The 21,934-nt window shown below is 49.4% G+C and overlaps 4 annotated features.

The window, feature by feature from the left end:
- Positions 7,750-8,250: an enhancer, noted in NCBI's record as "H3K27ac hESC enhancer chr9:132543973-132544473 (GRCh37/hg19 assembly coordinates)". NCBI's record gives its function as "activates a minimal SCP1, AML or CMV promoter by ChIP-STARR-seq in naive H9 embryonic stem cells {active_cell/tissue: H9 hESC(naive)}" and the evidence as "EXISTENCE:reporter gene assay evidence [ECO:0000049][PMID:30033119]".
- Positions 12,405-12,920: an enhancer, noted in NCBI's record as "H3K27ac-H3K4me1 hESC enhancer chr9:132539303-132539818 (GRCh37/hg19 assembly coordinates)". NCBI's record gives its function as "activates a minimal SCP1, AML or CMV promoter by ChIP-STARR-seq in naive H9 embryonic stem cells {active_cell/tissue: H9 hESC(naive)}" and the evidence as "EXISTENCE:reporter gene assay evidence [ECO:0000049][PMID:30033119]".
- Positions 12,480-12,774: an enhancer, noted in NCBI's record as "tiled region #14524; HepG2 Activating DNase unmatched - State 4:PromP, and K562 Activating DNase unmatched - State 1:Tss". NCBI's record gives its function as "activates a minimal TATA promoter and a strong SV40 promoter by Sharpr-MPRA in HepG2 and K562 cells {active_cell/tissue: HepG2 | K562}" and the evidence as "EXISTENCE:reporter gene assay evidence [ECO:0000049][PMID:27701403]".
- Positions 14,312-14,878: an enhancer, noted in NCBI's record as "H3K4me1 hESC enhancer chr9:132537345-132537911 (GRCh37/hg19 assembly coordinates)". NCBI's record gives its function as "activates a minimal SCP1, AML or CMV promoter by ChIP-STARR-seq in primed H9 embryonic stem cells {active_cell/tissue: H9 hESC(primed)}" and the evidence as "EXISTENCE:reporter gene assay evidence [ECO:0000049][PMID:30033119]".

The following is a 21,934-nucleotide window of genomic DNA, read 5'->3' as shown; positions in this document are numbered from 1 at the left end:
ACAGTTTATTTCTATGCAACCTTTTTGTTTCGTCGTTTTGTTTTTTGAGACAGGGTCTCACCATGTTGCCCAGATTGGAGTGCAGTGGCTATTCACAGGTGTGATCATAGCTCACTGCAGCCTTGAACTCCTGGCTTCACACAATCCTCCTGCCTCAGCCTCCAGAGTAGCTGGGATTACACGTGCATGCCACCATGTGTGGCCTATTTCTATGAAATCTTTTTTTTTTAAATACAGGATCTCACTCTATCACCCAGGCTGGAGTGCAGTGATGGCTCAAGATCCCAGGCTCAGGCAATCCTCCCACCTCAGCCTCCGGAGTAGCAGGGATTATAGGCATGTGCCATCATGCCTGGCTAATTTTTGTATTTGTAGTAGAGACAGGGTTTTGCCATGTTGCCCAGGATGATGGTCTCGAACTCCTGAGCTCAGGCAATCCCCCTGCCTTGGCCTCTCAAAGTGCTGGGATTACAGGCATGAACCACTGAGCCCAGCCCTATTCCTATGAAATCTTAAGATCATAGAATATCGCATGTGCTTTCACACTGCTTTATTGAGGTATCATTGACACAGAACAAACTGCACATATTTAAAGTGTGCAATTTGCAGCGCCCAGCTCTACTAAAAATAGAAAAATTAGCTGGGTGTGGCGGCGAGCACCTGTAATCCCAGCTACTTGGGAGGCTGAGGCAGGAGAATCACCTGAACCCGGGACGTGGACTTGGCAGTGAGCCCAGATCGTGCCACTGCACTCCAGCCTGGGCGACAAGAGTGAAATTCCATCTCAAAAAAAAAAAGTGCAATTTGCTAAGTTTTGACATTTGTACGCACCCATGCAACCATCGCCACAAACAAGGTCGTGAACATACCCACCATGCCCAGAAGATTCCTTGTGCCACCTTGTCATCCCTTTCTCTTGTCTCTCCCCTCACGTTCTCTCCCTGTCAACCACCGATCTCGTTCTGTCACTATAGATTAGTATATTTGTTATAGATGGTTACAAATATTATTATTAGATAGATAGTGTTTTATTTATGAAATGCTTGCTCAGTGCCAGGCTCTGGGAGCGTTACAGTCATTATCTCATTTAAATCCAGAGCAACCCTGTGAGGTAGCGGATTGGAAATCTGCATTTTGCAGGCAAAGAAGGTGACTTGCAGAGAAATGAAGTCACTTGCCCAAGGGAGTTCCTAAACATCTAGAAAGTGCTGTTGGGAGGCCGAGGCGGGGGATCACGCGGTCAGGTGTTTGAGACCAGCCTGACCAACATGGTGAAACCCCATCTCTACTAAAAATACAAAAAATTAGCCGGGCATGGTGGTGCGCGCCTGTAATCCCAGCTGCTTAGGAGGCTGAGGCAGGAGAATTGCTTGAACCCAGGAGGCAGACATTGCAGTGAGCCGAGATAGCGCCACTGCACTCCAGCCTGGGCGACAGAGTGAGACTCCGTCTCAAAAAAAAAAAAAAAGAAAGAAAAGAAAAAAAGAAAGTGCTGGAGCCAGGACAGACGCTGGGCTCATGTGGGGGCTCCACCCCAGTGTCCTGACTCTTTCCCCCAACAGTCCAACAGGGAGGAGCACAATGCCTGGGTTCCAATTCCACCTCTGCCATGATCATGAACATGACCCTGGGCTGGTTGCCCAACCCCTCTAGGTCTCAGTTTCCTCGTTGGTGGCATGGTTGTCCTTACCTTATAGGGTTGCCTGAGGGTCACTTAAGATGATGAGTGTGGAGGCCTCTCAGCAGAGAGCTTTCAGGACAGACCAGTAAACAAGTGACCATGGTGTGGGATGCAAGTACGGTGAGACGGACGTGCAGGAATCTGAGATAATAAGGGGATGGCTAGCGGCCAGGCGCGGTGGCTCACGCCTGTAATCCCAGCACTTTGGGAGGCTGAGGCAGGCGAATCATGAAGTCAGGAGTTTGAGACCAGCCTGGCCAACATGGTGAAACCCTGTCTCTACTAAAAATACACAAAATTAGCCGGGTGTAGTGGCAGGTGCCTGTCATCCCAGCTACTTGGGAGGCTGAGGGAGGAGAATCTCTTGAACCTGGGAGGTGGAGGTTGCAGTGAGCTGAGATTTCACCACTGCACTCCAGCCCAGGTGACAGAGTGAGACTCCGTCTCAAAAAAAAAAATAGATAAATAAATAAATAAGGGGGTGGCTGTTGTGGGAGCCAAGTCTTCCAGGAAGTTCTCTCCTTGAACTCTGGGCCACTATCATCCATTCTACTCACGTTGGAAATGCATCCCCTATCTACTTGTGGCCGGGGGCTTCCTCTTTGTCAGGTGTTGGGACTCAACAGTCAATAAGAAAGACTTGGCACCACCCACCAGGACTCCCACCTGGTCGGGAGGTGGGGGCAGAGGGGCAAGTCCCCAGCAATTACAGTCCAGTGGGATCAGTGCTGTGCTGGGGGAAATACAGGCACATATTGTCCATTTTGCTTTCATAATCCCTCCAGGCTTCGTTCCTCCAAGCTCTCCCAACCTTACCTGAGATACTCCTGCTGTCCCATGGAGAATTCTTTATAAGTGCAGTATTGTTGAAATACACCCCAAGGACATTGCTACTGCTGCTGTTGAAAAGCTTCCTGTTCTTTGGGTTTGTGAATACACAGTACTCTGGTCTCCCACTATTGTTCCCTAACCAAGTGCCACCTCCAGCCCCAAACCGATCACAAACGGGATGGCCAAGCACTGGGCGTGGGAATAACCGGTCTGAAGCTCAGCCACGCCGCTATAGACTGTGTGACCTTGGCCGTCATTTATTTTCAATCAAGGCTCAGTTGTTCACCTGTGAGTTCTCTGCAGGATATGGTTATCCCTGAGCTGGCTTCTTCTTACCCTGAGACTTGCTCACGCCCGTTGACCTCCCGGTGGTTGTGGACTCAAAGGCTGTCAACCCACTTAGAAAGCAAAACATAGTGGGGAAAGGAAAGCTGCTGTCCAAAGGGATCACACACCACTGTCACGCGCTTCTGTGTGAAGAGTCCACTAACAGGCTTTGTGTGAGCAACAAGGCTGTTTATTTCAACTGGGTGCAGGCGGGCTAGTCCGAAAAGAGAGTCAGCAAAGGGTGGTGGGGTTATCATTAGTTCTTATGGGTTTGGGATAGGCAGTGGAGTTAGGAGCAATTTTTTTGTGGGCAGGGGGTGGATCTTAGGAAGTACATTCTCAAGGGCGGGGAGAATATTACAAAGTACCTTCTTAAGGGCGGTGGGCGGGGGAATATCACAAAGTGCATTATCACAAGGGCGGGGAGCGTGTATTGTCATAAGGTCAGTTGATCAGTTGAGGGTGGGGCAGGAACAGATCACAATGGTGGAATGTCGTCTTTTGTGGATCTTCAGTTGCTTCAGGCCATCTGGATGTATACGTGCCGGTCACAGGGGATATGATGGGTTAGCTTGGGCTCAGAGGCCCGACAACCACCAAGGTACCAATCCGAGGTTGCAGAAGGAGGTTAATGGGTTGTATCCATAGGGACTTTTTTTTTTTTTTTTTAAGAAACAGGTCTCACTCTCTTGCCCAGGCTGGAGTACAGTGGTATGATCATGGCTCACTGCAGCCTCAATCTCCTGGGCTCAAGCAGTCCTCCCTCCTTAGCCTCAAGAGTAGCTAGAACTAGGCACATATCACCACACCCAGCTAATTAATTTTTTTTTTTTTGTAGAGATAGGGATTTGGCTCTTTTGCACCCTCCAGGGCTTGGACCAGTGCTTCACACATGGCGGGAAAAGGAGAGCATCTTGTCAAGAACTGGGAAGGGTCTGATATTTTGCCCTGCTTGCAAGCCCACAAGTTAGCCTGCCAGTTACATGGTGGCTGGCAAAGACATGAGTCTCCTGGGTCAGAGACAAACAACTTTATTACTCATGGCACAGCAGATGTCAACAAATATTTGTGAAATGAATAGATGGTTGGATGATCTTCAGTCCTAAGCTACATACCCAGGAAATGGCAGCTCCCAGATTTCTTGGGGACAACAAGAGTCTCTGAAGTCAGTTAAAGAGCAAAGGAGGAAGACAAGGCCAGTTTGGCAATGTCCAGTGAAGCTGAAGATGTGTGTACCCTGCAACCCAGAAATTCCACTCTTTGAGTCTTTATCACATTATGGCTCATGTGGACAGTGTAGGTATTTGTACAGCCAGTGAGGCTAGGGGAGGAGCTGGCAGAGGAGCTACCTGGGCCACAGCTCTGGCTACTGCAGACCTTCCTGCTGCTCATCTGTGACCTTCATGGCAAGGAGGGTGCAGAGCCCTGCCCTGTAGGAACCCACACATTTGCATGTGGAGACACATTCAAGGATGCTCATGGCAACATGATTTATGACATTAGACATTGGAATCACACCTAATTTTCCATCACTAAGAGAATGGATGAACCATTGTTCAGTTCTACAATGAAATATTATATAGCAGTTAAAAATGGATACACTTGAACTATTGTGTGTCCATATCAGTAAATCTCAGGAGTCAGAGTTGAGGAAAAAGCAAAAGTAGCAAGATGATATACACTCTTCTCTCTCCCTCCCTCCCTCCTTCCTTCCTTTCTTCCTTTCCTTCCTTCTTTCCTTCCTTCCTTCCTCTATTGCCCACGCTAAAGTGCAGTGGTGTGATCTCGGCTCACTGCTACCTCCGCCTCCCGGGAAAAAACGATTGTCATGCCTCAGCCTCTCGGGTAGCTGGAATTACAGGCATGAGCCACCACGCCCAGCTAATTTTTGTATTTTTAGTAAAGACAGGGTTTCATCATGTTGGCCAGGCTGTTCTTAAACTCCTAGCCTCAAGTGATCTGCCTGCCTTGGCCTCCCAAATTGCTGGAATTACAGGCATAAGCCACAATGCCTGGCCTATTTACATATTAAAAATGCAGCATGCCGGGTGCGGTGGCTCACGCCTGTTATCCCAGCACTTTGGGAGGCCAAGGTGGGTGGATCACGAGGTCAGGAATTCAAAACCAGCCTGGCCAAGATGGTGAAACCCTGTCTCTACTAAAAATACTAAAAAGTAGCCGGGCCTGGTGGCGGGTGCCTGTAATCCCAGGTACTCGGGAGGCCAAGGCAGGAGAGTCGCTTGAACTCAGGAGGCAGAGGTTGCAGTGAGCCAAGATTGCACTATTGCACTCCAGCCTGGGTGACAGAGCGAGACTCCATCTCCAAAAAAAAAAACAAAAACAAAAAACAACACAGCACCCTATCCATTTTTATGGACACATAATACATGTGTAGCTGAAGTAAAAACTAAACACAAAAAGGAACTGATATTTAAGCATATCCTGAGAGTGACAAAATTTTTTAAAAAAAGGAATTGATATACTTCAACTTAGACATGGAGATAACTTTTGGAGAGGAATCCCAAAGTGATGGGGCTTGAAGTTTTAGTTTTATTAAAGATATAGAGATCTAGGCCAGGCACGGTGGCTCATGCCTGTAATCCCAGCACTTTGGGAGGCTGAGGCAGGAGGATCACTTGAGTCCAGGAGTTCAAGCCCAGCCTGGGCAACGTAACAAGACCCTGTCTCTACAAAAAATACAAAAATTAGCTGGGTATGGTGTTGCGCGCCTATAGTCCCAGCTACTCGGGAAGTTGAGGTGGGAGGACTGCTTGAGCCCGGGAGGTTGAGGTTGCAGTGAGCTGTGATGGCACCACTGCACTCCATCCTGGGCAATAAAGCGAGACCCTCTCTCAAAAAAAAAAAAAAAAAAGAGATTTGAAGCAAATATAGTAAAATGCAAAATGTAATCTCTGCTAAATCTGGGTGGAGAGTATGTTCTCTCCTCTATCTTTGATGAAATAGTTGATAATTAAATGAAAAAGTTAAGATGGTCTCTAGAGGGATAGCTTACACACATCAGGAGAATCTGGCCTTTGGTAACCTGAAGAGTGTTGCTATTTTTGCCGGTGAGAGAAGGGCTAGAAAGCATCCATTTCTCCCCAACCGTGCCTCGCCAGGGGCTTGGCCGAGGGAGCCTGGGGTACTTCCCTAATCTAACCACTAGATGGGGCCAGTACTACGGGTTAGAAATGGGGAGACCCGAGGGAGGGCTGTGGGATCCTTCTAGCAACTTGACACAAGGAAGAATCAGTTTTTGCAAGAAACAGAGGATGATAATTTACTTGAGAACATGAGAGACAGGTAAAGGTAGAAAAACAGCAGTCACAGCTGGGTGCGGTGGCTCACGCCGGTAATCCCAGCACTTTGTGGGGCTGAGGAGGGCATATTGCTTGAGTCCAGGAGTTCGAGACCAGCCTGGGCAACATAGCAAGACCCCTGTCTCTACAAAAAATAAAATATTACCTGGGCCTGGTGGCATGGTGCCTGTAGTCCCAGCTACTCTGGAGGCTGAGGCAGAAGATTCATTTGAACCCAGGAGTTTGAGGCTGCAGTGATCCACAATCGTGCCACTCCAGCCTGGACAACAGAGTGAAACTGTCTTGAAAAAAAGAAAATGAAAAAGAAAAACAGGAGTCAGGTAACAAAAGAACCCCTAGTTAAAGTAGCAATATCATTCAATACCATTCACAGGTATTGGTAAAGTACCTATTTTCTTTTTTTTTTCCTTTTTTTTTTTTTTTTTTGAGACAGAGTCTCGCTCTGCTGCCCAGGCTGGAGTGCAGTGGCGCAATCTTGGCTCACTGTAAGCTCCACCTCCCGGGTTCTCGCCATTCTCCTGCCTCAGCCTCCCGAGTAGCTGGAACTACAGGCACCCACCACCATGCCTGGCTAATTTTTTGTATTTTTAGTAGAGACGGGGTTTCACCGTGTTAGCCAGGATGGTCTCGATCTCCTGACCTCGTGATCCGCCCGCCTCGGCCTCCCAAAGTGCTGGGATTACAGGCGTGAGCCACCGCACCCGGCCAAAATACCTATTTTCTAGTCTCCTAAGTTACCCGAGATGCAGTTGTTAAGCATTAAAACAGATGCCAACAGGGGTTCAGGGAAATTCCAGTTTCTATCCCTTTGGGTTTTTTGTTTTGTTTTGTTTTGTTTTTGAGATGGAGTCTCGCTCTGTCGCCCAGGCTGGAGTGCAGTGGCGTGATCTCGGCTCACTGCAACCTCAGCCTCCAGGGTTCAAACGATTCTCCTGCCTCAGCCTCTCAAGTAGCTGGAATTACAGGCGCATGACACCACGCCCAGCTAATTTTTGTATTTTTTAGTAGAGACGGGGTTTCACCATGTTGACCAGGCTGGTCTCAAACTTCTGAGGTCAGGTGATCCACCCACCTCGGCCTCCCGAAGTGCTGGGATTACAGATGTGAACCGCCATGCCCAGACCCTTTCCCTTTGTCTGATTGATATCATTCCACCCCTGTTCACTGAACCAACCAGAGGCGTGTGCACCTTCTGGAGGCTGGAATGATTCGTGTTAGTCTGAATGCCTGGGCTTTGGCATAAAGGCCCTGAGTCCATCTTCTGGCTCTGCTCCTGATCAGCTCTGTGACCCTGGGTGATGGTCTTAGCCTTTCTAGGCTTCGGTTTTCTGATCTGTAAAGTAGGGATGATAATAACATTACCTAGCCTGTAGTCCCAGCTATTTGGGAGGCTAAGGTGGGAGGATCCTTTGAGCCCAGGAGTTCAAGGGTGCAGTGAGCTGTGACCGCACTACTGCACCCACCCTGGGCAACAGAGTGAGAACACTATCCTATCTCCAGCAGGCACGCAGGGCCCCATAACTTAAGCTCATGTGATCTTATCCCTGCCCTCTTCTTGGCCCTAGAATCCTCACCATGTATTTGCTCTGCCTAGACTGGGCTGTGCATTCCTCTGGGAAGGGGTGGTGGTTATCTCGCTCATATCCCAGGGCCAGCACAGGGATAAACTTAAAATTGTTTGGAATGAACAACAACAAAAAAATCAGGGCTGGGCGTGGTGGCTCATTCTTGTAATCCCAGCACTTTGGGAGGCCGAGGTGGGAGTATCACTTGAGTCCAGGAGTTTGAGACTACCCAGGACAACATAGTGAGACCCTGTCTCTATGAAAAATTTAAAAAGTAGCTGGGCATGGTGGTGTGTCCGTAGTCCCAGCTACTCAGGATGTAGTCCCAGGCTACTCAGGAGGCTGAGATGGGAGGATTACTTGAGCCTGGGAGACCAAGGCTGCAGTGAGCTGAGATCATGCCACTGCTCTACAACCTGGGTGACAGAGTGAGACTTTGTCTCAAAAAAAAAAAAAAAAAAGAAAAAGAAAAAAGAAAAAAAGAAAAAAGAATAGGCGGGGCATGGTTGCTTACACCTATAATCCCAGCACTTTGAGAGGCCAAGGTGGGCAGATCACTTGAGGTCAGGAGTTCAGGACCAGCCTGGCCAACACGATGAAACCCCATCTCTACTAAAAATACAAAAATTAAGTGGTCATAGTAGCATGAGCCTGTAATCCAGCTACTCGAGAGGCTGAGGCAGGAGAATCTCTTGAACCCAGAAGGCGAAGGTTGCAGCGAGCTGAGATCACACCGTTGCACTCCAGCCTGAGTGACAGAGACTCCGTCTTAAATAAATAAATAAATCGGTCAATTTGGTCTAATCCAGTGAATGTCTCAAGTAGCATTATTGAGGCATATTTTCCATATCATAATTTACCCTTTTAAGTGTGCAATTTAGGGATTTTACCACATCATCATAGTCAATTTACCAACCTACTATGGTGTAACCACCAACATAAGTCAGTTTTAAAATATTTTCATCATCCCAATATGATCTCTCTTTCTGAGACAGCGTCCTGCTCTGTTGTCTAGGCTGGGGTACAGTGGCGGAATCTTTGTACACTGCAGCCTCAACCTCCTAGGCTCAAGCGTTCCTCCCACCTCAGCCTCCCAAGTAGCTGAGACTACAGGCATGCAACACCACACCCAACTAATTTTTGCATTTTTTCTAGAGTTTGGTCTCATTATGTTGACCAGGCTGGTCTTAAACTCTTGGGCTCAAGTGATCCTCCCACCTTGGCCTCCCAAAGTGCTCGTATTACAGGTGTGAGCCACACCACACCTGGCCTCTCTTTTTTGTTTTTTTTAACTGACCTATTTCAAAGCACTTTGCAGACATTTTTAAATGTCACCCCTACACCCTTCATCATGTATCTCCTAAGATTAAGGAGAGCTCTTCCAAAACCACAATACCCATACCGTCTTGCTTTGCTTTTCATTTCTTTTTCGAGATGGGATCTCATTCTGTCACCCAGACTGGAGTGCAGTGGCGCAATCTCAGCTCACTGCAACCTCCGCCTCCCAGGTTCAAACAATTCTCCTGCCTCAGCCTCTCGAGTAGCTGGGATTACAGGCACCTGCCACCATGCCTAGCTAATTTTTGTATTTTTAGTAGAGACAGGGTTTCGCCATGTTGGCCAGGCTGGTCTCCAACTCCTGACTTCAGGTAATCCACGTGCCTAGGCCTCCCAAAGTGCTGGGATTACAGGCGTGAGCCACCACGCCCAACCTGTTTTGTTTTTTAAATTCAAGATCTAATCAAGGATTAAACCTTGCATTTCGTTGTCTTGGGAAGCCAGAACCCAGACTGAATTGAATCCAGGTTAATGAACATTGCTAGCCCATGTGAAAACTTGCACAGGCCAGGCGCCTGGGGAAAGTGCAGTGCACCCTGAATCTCATTTAATCCTCAGAACGTTCTGCTAGGTGCCACTGCCCACATTTTATGGAGAGAGGTGGTGTCCTCCAGGCTGGAGTGCAATGGTGCAATCTCAGCTCACTGCAACTTCTGCCTCCTGGGTTCGAGATTCTCACTCCTCAGCCTCCTGAGCAGCTGGGATTACAGGCATGGGCCACCACGCTCAGCCAATTTTTGTGTTTTTAGTAGAGATGGGATTTCGCCATATTGTCCAGGCTGGTCTCGAATTCCTGACCTCAGGTGATCCGCCCGCCTCAGCATCCCAAAGTGCTGGGATTACAGGCCACCGCGCCTGATCCTAAATAATCATTTTTAAAATCAATCAATCCTTCCTTCCTCCTTCCTCCCTCCCCTGCCTTCCTTCTTTCCTTTCTTTCTTTCTTCCTTCCTTTCTTTCTCTTTCTTTCTTTCTCTTTTCTTTCTTTCTTTCCTCTTTCTTTCTTCTTTCTTTCTCTTTCTTTCTGTCTTTTCCTTCCCTCCCTCCCTCCTTCCCTCCCTCCTCCTTCCCTTCTTTCCTTCCTCTCTCCCTCTTTCTTTCTTTCTTCTTTCTCTGTCTTTTCCTTCCCTCCCTCCCTCCTTCTCTCTCTTTTTCCTTTCTTTCTTTCTTTCTTTCTTTCTTTCTGTCTGTCTCTTTTCCTTCCCTCTCTCCTTCCCTTCTTTCCTTCCTTCCTTTCTTTCTTCCTTCCTTCTTTCCTTCCTCTCTCCCTCTCTCTCTCTTTTTTCTTTCTTTCTTCTTTCTTTTTCTTTCTTTGTCTTTTCCCTGGCGCCTGGTGGCAGGCGCCTGTAATCCCAGCTACTTGGGAGGCTGAAGCAGGCGAACTGCTTGAACCCAGGAGGTGGAGGTTGCAGTGAGCTGAGATCGCACCACTGCACTCCAGCCGGGCGACAAGAGCAAAACTCCATCTCAATAAATAAATACATACATACATACATACATACATACATACATACATACATACATGTATACATACATACTATTGGAATCTAGCATGGAGGTTGCCACCCCCTTTTGCTGGTGTGGGGTGCAGTTCTGAGAGGCAGGGCAGACACCCATTGGGGCCTTTTGCTAAGGACCGAATTGTGTCCCCCTAGAATTTGTGCGTCAAACTCCAAATCCCCAATGTGATGGCGTTGGAGATTGGGGCCTTTCGGAGGTGATTAGGGTTTGATAAGGTCATGAGGGTGGGGCCCTCAAGATTGGATCAGTACCCTTATAAAAAGAGACACCAGGGAACTTCCTTCTACTCTCTCTCACCATGTAAGGACACAGTGAGAAGGCACCTGGATCTTGGACTTCCCAGTCTCCACAAACATAAGAAATAAATTCCTGTTGTTTAAGCACCCAATCTGTGGCATTTTATTTATTTATTTATTTATTTTAGAGCCAAGGTCTTGTTTTGTCACCTGGGCTGGAGTGCAGTGGTACCATCATGGCTCCCTGCAGCCTCAAACGGCTGGGCTCAGGGCATCCTCCTGCTTCAGCATCCCAAGTGGCTGGGACTACAGGTGCATGCCACCACGCTTAGCTATTTTTTTTTTTTTTTTAGAGATGGGGTCTTGCTATGTTGTCCAGGCTGGTCCTGAACTCCTGGGTTCAAGTGATCCTTCTGCCTCAGGCTTCCAAAGTGCTGAGATTACAGGTGTGAGTCATCACACCTGGCAATGGCATTTTATTATGGCAGCCTGAGCTGACTAAGGTAGACAGCAGGGAAAGAAGCTTCCATGCATTCCTCTTTGGGGAATCTGAACTTTCCAAGGCCTGCCTCCCTCCTCTGCAGGACGCTGGAACATGTTCAGTGATAGGTGGGCCTGAGGCTGTGCATCCCATGTCCCCAGAGCCTCTCTGTTGCTAGAAAATGTTCTTTCTTTCCTTGTGATTAAGGAGAAATCTGCCTTCCTGGGCCTCTCCACCCCTGGGGCCTGTCTCTACTACTCTACTATTTGGGTTTCTAGAACCCTCCCATCTCCTTTGGAGACATCCTCTTTCTTTTTTCTTTTCTTTTCTTTTTTTTTTTTTTGAGACAGATTCTTGCTCTGTCACCCAGGCTGGAGGGCAGTGGCACGATCTCAGCTCACTGCAACCTCCGCCTCCCAGGTTCAAGCGATTCTCCTGCCTCAGCCTCCCGAGTAGCTGGGATTGCAGGTGCCGGCCACCACGCCCAGCTAATTTTTTGTATTTTTAGTACAGATGGGGTTTCACCATGTTGGCCAAGCTGGTCTCGAACCTCTGACCTCATGTGATCCTCCCGCCTAGGCCTCCGAAAGTGCTGGGATTACAGGCGTGAGCCACCTCGCCCAGCCTCAGCCTTTCTCCTAATCATCACCTTGCCCTGGGCGGGTCCTAACTGCCGGGAGCCCCCAGCAAGCCTCATCTTAACAAGCCAGAACATAGCCCACATGAGGGGATGGGGGAGTGACTGGAAGTCACTGGGCCATGGTTGCAAAGGTGGCGAATGGCAGAGGAGCTGGGACACACCCACAGGGTGTCTGACCGTGATTTTAACTGCTCTTCCACGCCTCCGTGAATGAATGAATGAATGAACACATGTTCTACTACCAGACTTTGTTTTTCAGAAATATAGCAACCCTTTGGAAAAATCATAGGTCCTGTCACTAACAAGTTGAATTTAGTTATCAAGTCACTTTCTTGGTTAGAGAAGAGGAAAGGGGAGGAGGAGATGGGAAGAGGAGGAGGGAGGAGGGAGGATGAAGAAGCTCTGACGGGACCCAGTAGTGCAAGGCAGAGGGTGTCTCCGGAGGAAGCTTCCCTTCACTGTGGCAATTTCCTGAGGCTTGGTCTTGGCTTCTCGCAGCAAACAGGGTCTTCATCTGCCCAGCATCTGAACCCTAACCGCAGAGGGTTGAGAGACAGAGGAGGGGGCCCCCACAGGGCCTGTGGTTTGAGTGAGGAAAGCAATTGTGTAAAAGTGGAGAGCCTTTCCGCAGCCCAGGGCCAGTCCCTGCCTGAGTCATGCTAGAGAGAGAGGGAGGAGCAGGCAGGATCCTGGAGCTCCCTGGATTTCAAGCTGGCCGTGGCCTCCCGGGTGACGTCACTGCGGTCATTGCCTGATGAGCTCAGGCAGAGGCGCCTGGGGACGGGGTAAGTGGTGAGAGGGAGGGCCACGGCTGTCTTGGGTGAACCCCAGGCTCCAGTTGGAGACTCTGCTGTGGCAAGAGGTCCACCCCACCCCCGGGCGCCATCTGGGGACACTCCGGCATCCCATTCCAATGGCTGTTCTGCCAGGGCCTCACCCTGGCTCTTGGTCTTAGGACTGCTGTGTTTGCCTGCCTAGGTGTGCGGGTCAATCTGTGCAGAGCTGGGGAGCAAGTGATCACTGGGAGCAAAGACAGCTTTCAGCCTGGAGGGAGAAGCATTTCTTCCCGCTAGGATAATGGCCAATTCAGAGGCCCTAGACCATGCTGTCCCCAGAGCCTGGGTGCATTGCTGATGACGAGATCCCAGCCGGGGGTCAGGCCTCCCAGGACTGTCAAGCTGGGCTGCTTGAGTCCCTGGCTCCAGGGGTGGGGGTGGGGCTGAATGGCAAGGGAGAGAGCTGGTCCATTCCAGGCTCCAACCTCAGAACCCTCTGGGAGTAAGATTACCCAGCCCTGTGCTCGGGCTGAGCAATCAACTATAGCGCACACGCTCCTTTACTGTGGTTCCGAGATAGTTAATTGAAATCTGGATACTCTGGGTAAAGTCAGAACATCCAGCTGGGCCCAGCATGGGAGATCAGCTTGATGAGTCTCCCGCACCCTATTCTGGGCATCAGCAGAGTCAGTTCTCTGAAGAGTCTTTTTCATATATATCACATAGATAGAGAGATAGGCAGGTTGGTAGGTAGGTAGATAGGTCAATAGGTAGGTAGGTAGGTAGTTAGACATAGGTATCTATCTATCTATCTATCTATCTATCTATCTATCTATCTATCTATCTATCTATCTATCTTACTGTAGTTTAGCACAGACATTGGTTAAGTCATGTCACTCCTCTGAACCTCAATTTTCTCATCTCTAAAATGGGGATATTAGGCCGGGCGAGGTAGCTCATGCCTGTAATCCCAGCACTTTGGGAGGCCAAGGCAGGTGGATCACCTGAGGTCAGGAGTTCAAAACCAGCCTGGCAAACATGGTGAAACCCTGTCTCTACTAAAAAATACAAAAAAAATTAGCCAGGTGTGGTGGCACGCACCTGAAGTCCCAGCTACTCGGGAGGCTGAGGCAGGAGAATTGCTTGAGACTGGGAGCCAGAGGTTGCAGTGAGCCAAGATCACACCATTGCACTCCAGCCTGGGTGACAGAGCAAGACTCTGCCTCTAAAAAATATAAAATAAAATAAAATAAAATAGAGATAATAATAGACCCACCTCCTAGGATTGCTACATGAGGGCAATGAACTGATCTACATAAAGCACCAAGCATAGTGTCTGGCAGGTAAAGTTGGCCAGTAATGTCATCAACATTGTTATATAATAATAATTATTGTCATTAATTTTATTGCCCAACTGGCGTCCCAGCCTGAGCTGAAGCTCTGTCTCTTGGCCACCCTGTCCAGGAGGTATGAGCCTGTTTTCTTGGGCCAGATCTTCTGCTTGGCTTGAAGCCAAAGTGTGACTTCCCAACCTCTGCATGCAGCCCCCTCCCCAGGGTGCTGGTTGGTCTCTCCTCTCAGCTGCTGCTGCAATGTGCTTCACAGTGACAACACACCCACAGCTCCAGTGGCAGTTGATGCATCCTTGTGGCCAGAATCATGCCTGGCAGGACGCATGTGGCAAAGGGCTTGTCTGGGTCGGTGCTATGCTCTCTGTGCCAGGGAAAATCCAGCTCTTGGAGTGGGTGAGAGCAGGGAGGCCTTCATGGTGGTGGAGTTAGGGGATGGGAGAGACAGGGAAGCAATGAGGGGCTTGCACAGAAAATATCGTTTTACCCTAAGTACCCAGATGACAAATGAGACCCAAAATGACCTTTGGCAGGGGCCGTGGCTTCTGGGGACCCCAGCGTTTGACAGAGCAGGTGGCAGAGCCGCAGGACCCAGCTCTAGTGTGTGGCAGTTTGTTGGTTTCATTGCCGTTGCTGGGCCAGACGTGCACTGAGGACCCCGGGATAAAGGGGTTTACTGTGAGGATGCTGGGGCCCAAGACCTCGTGGGCACAGGACCCAGGTGAAGACCCCAGGGCCCGTGAAGAGCCGAAGTGGATTTCACTGTAGGGGCTTCTTGTCATCCCCAGGGGTACACATTCTTGTGGCCGCTCCTGCTGCTGGCAGCCGAGTCCTTGGCCACGAGCCCAGCCTCCTCTGGGGGGTGGGTCTCAGCCCAGGCCCACATCGGGCTGTTGATTTCATTGGCTGCTGGCTGGCCTCGCCATTGGCTGCTTGCAGCCAGGTGCTCACCCCTGCCCATCAGCTGTGGCCATGGTGGTGCCAGCAGGGAGAGGAGCATGTGACTTGCACGTGAGGAGTAGCCGAAGGCTTCTTCCCTAGGGGACATGTGTCTACCTCGGGGCGATGCGTCTACCTGTGGATGGGGAGGGACCCCTTATTGGGGCCCAGGCAGGTCCGCATTCTGGGCCTTGTCCAGTACACCCTCTGGTTTCCAACCAGCCAACCAGGCTCCTGGGGGACCCACCAACCCTCCCCTTTCTTCTCCGTACTTCTCTCCTCACCTGGTAGACACACATGTCTTCATTTTGGTTCTTACGTTGAGAGACAAACCCATCCTTCCCTCCCTTTCTTCCTTCCTCCCTCCCTCCCTCCCTCCCTCCCTTCCTTCTCTCTCCCCTTCCTTCCTTCCTTTCTTTCTTTCTTTCTTTCTTTCTTTCTTTCTTTCTTTCTTTGTTTCTTTCTTTCTTTCCTTCCTTCCTTCTTTCTTTCTTTCTTTGTTGGTTTCTTTCTTTCTTTGTTTCTTTCCTTCCTTCTTTGTTTGTTTGTTTCTTTGTTTCTTTCTTTCTTTCTTTTTTCTTCCTTTCTTTCTTTCTCTCTGTCTCTCTTTCTCTCTTTCTTTTCTTTCTTTCTTGCACCTAGGTTGGAGTGCAGTGGCATGATCATGGCTCACTGCAGCCTCGACCTCCCAGCCTCAAGTGATCCTCCCTCCTCAGCCTCCTAAGTAGCTAGGACCACAGACATACACCACCATGCCTGGCTATTTTTTTTTTTTTTAACTTTTTGTAGAGACAAGATCTCCCTGTATTGCCCAGGCTGGTCTCAGACTCCTAAGGCTCAAGTGATCCTCCTGCCTCGATCTCCCAAAGTGCTGAGATTACAGGCATGAGCCACTGCACCCAGCCTGAGACAATGCTTTCTCTACCAGTCTCTACCCCATTGCACTAATAGTCAGTGGAAGGCTGCAGACCTTCACACGTGAGTCCCTGGCCCTGGGCCTCAGGCAGGGTTTGCTGGGTGTATGTTTACCCAATAGTTGTGGGAAAGTGGGTGCTGACCTCACCGGGTGCGGAGGACAGGGTGTTAAGCGGCTCCCACAAAACACTCCCTCCTCCTCGGGCTATGTTGGCAGAAGCACATCTAACCCTGGCGACCCAAGGTCATGAGGGGGATGAGTTAACTTCCTTGTGTGTCCTAAGCGGCTGCTGTGTATTTGTTGACTGTCTCAGAGTAAATGTGGTTGGTTTACTCACTTTCTACCCCTTTTAGCTGGTGGGACTGGTTAAAAGCTTGTCCTCTGCATAAAAGCTTTGCCTCTGGGATTAGCCTGGCCTGGTTGAGTCTCAGTTGTTGAAATAACAACAGCAATACCAATAGCAGTGATAGCTTACATGTAACACCAGGTATGATTTCCTACCTGGACTATCTCAGTAATCCTAGGAGGAAGGTCTATTATCATGTCCATTTTAGAGAAGGAAGAAGTGAGGCTCAGTATGGTGCTCAGCTAGGAAGCAGTAGAGCCTGGTGGTAACCAGGCAGGGGCTCAGAGCTTCTCTCCTTCCTGCTCCTTAGCTGATGGGCCATCGTGGGCAGGTTACTTGGCCTCTCCAGGACTCGGATTCCCCTTGTCTGCAAATGGGTCAAGAAAGTTTAATGTGGCTGGGTGCGGTGGCTCACACCTGTAATCCCAGCACTTTGGGAGGCCGAGGTGGGTGGATCATGAGATCAAGAGATCGAGACCATCCTGGCCAACATGGTGAAACCCTGTCTCTACTAAAAATACAAAAATTAGCCAGGTGTGGTGGCGCACGCCTGTAGTCCCAGCTGCTTAGGAGGCTGAGGGAAGAGAATCACTTGAACCTGGGAGGCGGAGGTTGCAGTGAGCCAACATCATACCACTGCACTCCAGCATGGTGACAGAGCCAGACTCTGTCTAAAAAAAAAAAAGGTTTAATGTGGCAGGGTACGCTGATTCACGCCTGTAATCCCTGCACTTTGGGAGGCCAAGGTGGGTGGATCACTTGAGGTGAGAGTTCGAGACTAGCCTGGCCAGCATAGTGAAACGCTGTCTCTCCTAAAAATACAAAAAATTAGCCGGGCGTGGTGGCAGGCACCTGTAATCCCAGCTACTCCGGAGACTGAGGCAGGAGAATCGCTTGAACCCAGGAGGCGGAGGTTTCAGTGAGCTGAGATCACACCACTGTAATCCAGCCTGGGTGACAGAGCAAGACTCCATCTCAGAAAAAAAAAAAAAGAAAAAAGAAAGCTTAATGCATGAAGTGGTTACAGAAAATAAGCACTTTTCAAACAGTGAAACTCAGCCCCTAGTTTGGGATTATTATCTTGGATGGAAAGGGGAGTTTTTTTTGTTTTTGTTTTTGTTTCTTTTTTAACATTTCCCATTTCACAGATGGAGGGAAGAGTGATTTTTGCTGCTCTTTCTGCATTAAGTTAGAGTTTGTAGAGGTGACCTTTAAGACCAGCTTGCTCAAAATCAGCCCGCGACTTGGGCACCTCCCTCAAAGGCAGCTTCATCTTTGTATTGTTTGTTTTGTTTTTGAGATGGGCTCTTGCCATGTTGCCCAGGCTGGAGTGCAGTGGCTATTCACAGGCATGATCATAGCTCACTGCAGCCTCGAGCTTCTGGGTTGGAGCAATCCTCCTGCTTCAGCCTCCCGAGTAGCTGGGACTATAGGCCTGTGCCACCATGGCCGGCTAGCTTTTTGTTTCTTTGTAGAGATGGGGTCTCGAACTCCTGGTCTCAAACAGTCTTTCTGCCTTGGCCTCCCAAAGTGCTGGGATTACAGGTGTGAGCCACTACTGCACCTGGCCCTAGAACACTTTATTATGTAGTAAAAAGTAAATAACTCTCACCCATCTCTTTTTATAGAACTGTGCTGCCCAATATGGCAGCTACAAGCCAGGTGTGATCACCGAGGGCCCAAAATGTGGTGAGTCCAAATTGAGTCCAACTGACACGTGCAGTGAGTGTAAAATCAACACTGGGCCTTGAGACCTAATATGGAAAAAAAAGTAAAATATCTCACTAATAATTTGTCAATATTGGCAAGGCGTGGTGTCTCATGCCTATAATCCCAGCACTTTGGGAGGCCGAGGCGGGCGGATTGCCTGAGCTCAGGAGTTTGAGACCAGCCTGGGCAACACGGTGAAACCCCATCTCTACTACGGTACAAAAAATTAGCCAGGCATGGCGGTGAGTGCCTGTAGTTTCAGCTACTCAGGAGGCTGAGGCAGGAGAATCGCTTGAACCCAGGAGGCAGAAGTTGCAGTGAGCCAAGATCGCGCCACTGCACTCCAGTCTGCGTGAGGGGAACGAGACTCCATCTCAAAAGAAAAAAAAGCCGGGCGCGGTGGCTCACGCCTGTAATCCCAGCACTTTGGGAGGCCGAGGTGGGCAGATCACCTAAGGTCAGGAGTTCGAGACCAGCCTGACCAACATGGAGAAACCCTGTCTCTACTAAAAATACAAAAATTAGCCTGGCGTGATGGCACATGCCTGTAATCCCAGCTACTCAGGAGGCTGAGGCAGGAGAATTGCTTGAACCCAGGAGGCGGAGGTTGCGGTGAGCCAAGATCAGGCCACTGCACTCCAGCCTGGGTAACAAGAGCGAAACTCCGCCTCAAAAAAAAAGTCATGGCCCCTCCATGAATCCTCACACTTGAGACAGTTTATAGACCCAGGACCTCTTGAATGAAGAAGAGGCTAGGTCCCCTTGGCGAAGGACTTTGGTATGCTACTAAAAATTTATACTCCCAATCTTTCTCCCAACCTTCCCCTAAAGAGACCTTTACCAGGGTAACTGCGCTGGGAAAGGAAATAATCAGATATCCCAGGGACTACTGGACACTGGCTCTGAACTGATACTGACACCAGGAGACCTCACCTGTCACTGTGGCCCTCTAGTCAAAGCAGGGGCTTATGAAGGTCACGTGACCCACGAGTTTTCACTCAGGTCCTTCTCACAGTGTGTCCAGTGGGTCCTTGAGCCCATCCTGCGGCTATTTTCCCAGCTCCAGGTGCATAATTGGAACAGACATATGAGCAGCTGACAGAATCCCACATTGATTTCCTGATGGTGGGAAAAGTCGAGCAGAAGCCATTAGAACTGCCTCTACCTAGGAAATCAAAAGCAGCACTTTATTCCTGGATGGATTGCAGAGATGAGTGCCACCATTAAGGACTGGAAAGATGCAGGGTTGAAGATTCTCCCCACATCCCCTTTCAACCCTCCTATTTGTCCTGTGCAGAAAACAGATGGATCTTGGAGAATGACAGTGGATTATGATACATTTAACCAGGTGGTAACTCCATTGTAGCTGCTGTACCAGCCCGACCTGATGACATTATTCTGATTGGAACTCGTGAGCAAGAAGTATTGGTAGCAATAAGTAATCTAGGTCGGGCATGGTGGCTCACACCTATAATCCCAGTACTTTGGGAGGCCGAGGCCTGAGGTCAGGAATTTGAGACCAGCCTGGCCAACATGGTGAAACCCTGTCTCTACTAAAAATACAAAAATTAGCAGGGCATGGTGGCTTGTGCCTGTAGTCCCAGCTACTTGGGAGGCTGAGGCAGGAGAATCTCTTGAACCCGGGAGGTGGAGGTTGCAGTGAGCCGAGATCACGCCATTGCACTCCAGCCTGGTGACAGAGCGAGACTCTGTCTCAAAAAAAAAAAAAACCAACAAACAAAAACAAAACAAAACAAATTAGCCGGGCGTGGTGGCGGGCTCCTGTAGTCCCAGCTACTCAGGAGGCTGAGGCAGGAGAATTGCTTGAACCTGGGAGGCGGAGGTTGAAGTGAGCCGAGATTGCATCGCTGCACTCCTGCTTGGATGACAGAGTGAGACTCCTTCCCCAAAAAAAAAAAAAAAAAAGTAATCTAGACTTGTTGGTAAGACATTTGCATGTCAAGGTTAGAAATAAATATGAGTAAAATTCAGAGTTCTTTATCAGCGAAATTTCTGGGAGTCCAGTGGTGTGGGGCCTGTCCAGATGTCTCTTTGAAGGTGAAAGATAAATTGTTGCACTACGCCTCTCCTGCAAGCAAAAAAGAGGCACAATGCCCAGTGTGGAGGCAACATATGCCTTATCTGGGTGTGTTAGTTACTCCAGCCCATTTACCGAGTGACCTAAAAAGCTACTAGTTTTGGGTAAGGTTCAGAACAGGGCCTTAGTGGAGACTGAACACCTAACCGTGGACAACCAAATTACCATGTGACTTGAGCTTCTCATCATGAACTGGGTGCGATTTGACCGCCAAGCCATAAAGTTGGGTGTGCACAGCAGCACCCCATCATCACCTAGAAGTGGTAGATACATGGCCAGGCCAGAGCAGGCCCTGAAGGCAGAAGTAAGTGACATGAAGTGGCCCAAATGCTGAAGGTCCCCACTCCTGCAACCCTGCCTTCTCTCTTCAAGCACCCATGGCTCACAGGGAGTTCCCTGCTATCAGGTGACCGAGGAAGAGGAGACTCAGGCCTGGTTTATGGATGGTTCTGCAGGATATGTGGGCATCCTCTGAAGGTGGCCAACTGCAGCACTACAGCTCCCCTCTGGGACACCCCTGAGGGACAGTGGGGAAGGGTCATCCTCCCAGCGGGCAGAAACTTAAGCAGTGTACCTAGTTGTGCACTTTTCTTTTTTCTTTTTTTGAGACGGAGTTTCACTCTGTTGCCCAGGCTGGAGTGCAGTGGCACGATTTCAGCTCACTGCAACCTCTATCTCCCGGGTTCAAGCGATTCTCCTGCCTCAACCTCCCAAGTAGCTAGGATATGGGTATGAGCCACCATGCCTGGCTAATTTTTTGTATTTTTAGTAGAAATGAGGTTTCACCATGTTGGTCAGGCTGGTCTTGAAGTCTGGACCTCAGGTGATCCACCCACCTCAGCCTCCCAAAGTGCTGGGATTACAGGTGTGAGCCACCGCACACAGCCATCTTTTCTTTATTCTTGCTTTTTTTTTTTCTTTTGTTCTGTCACCCCAGCTGGAGTGCAGTGGCACGATCTCGGCTCACTGCAACCTCAGACTCCCAGGTTCCTGAGCCTCAGCTTCCCAAGTAGCTGGGACTATAGGTGTGTACCATCACACCCGGCTAATTTTTGTATTTTTTGGTAGAGATGGGGTTTCACCATGTTGCCTGGGCAGGTCTTGAACTCCTGATCTCAGATTATCCGCTAGCCTCAGCCTCTCAAAGTGTTGGGATTATAGGCATGAGCCACCGCTCCCAGCCACGCGCTGTGTATGTTCTTAACCAGCGGCCCATATATGGTGCTGTTTCTCTGAAAGCCAAGGTTCATGGGTCTGGAATCAAAAGGTGAAAATGGGAGTGGCACCACTCACTATTACTCTGAGTGGCCTACTGGAAAAATGTGTGCTTCTTATTCTTGTGACTTTATTCTCTGTTGGCCTAAAGATCTTAGTTCCAGAGGGAGGAGTGTTTCCAGCGGGAGACACAACAATTCCTTTGAGCTGGAAGTTAAGATGCCACCCGGCCACTTTGGGCTCCTCATGCCTCTGGGTCAACAGGGAAAGAAGGGAGCTATGGTGTGGGCTGGGGTGACTGATCCAGATCACCAAGGGGACATTGGGCTGCTGCTCCACAATGGAGGTAGGGAAGAGTGTGGAATGCAGGAGACCCGTTAGGCCATGTCTTTTTTTTTTTTTTTTTTTTTTGAGACGAGTGTGGCTCTGTCGCCCAGGCTGGAGTGCAGTGGTGCGATCTCGGCTCACTGCAAGCTCCGCCTCCCGGGTTCACGCCATTCTCCTGCCTCAGCCTCCCGAGTAGCTGGGACTACAGGAGCCCGCCACCACACCCGGCTAATATTTTGTAGTTTTAGTAGGGATAGGGTTTCACCGTGTTAGCCAGGATGGTCTCGATCTCCTGACCTCATGATCCGCCCACCTTGG

The sequence above is a fragment of the Homo sapiens genome, chromosome 9, assembly GCF_000001405.40.
Source record: "Homo sapiens chromosome 9, GRCh38.p14 Primary Assembly".
Lineage (NCBI taxonomy): Eukaryota > Metazoa > Chordata > Mammalia > Primates > Hominidae > Homo > Homo sapiens.
This window is presented reverse-complemented; position numbering and strand designations above follow the sequence as displayed.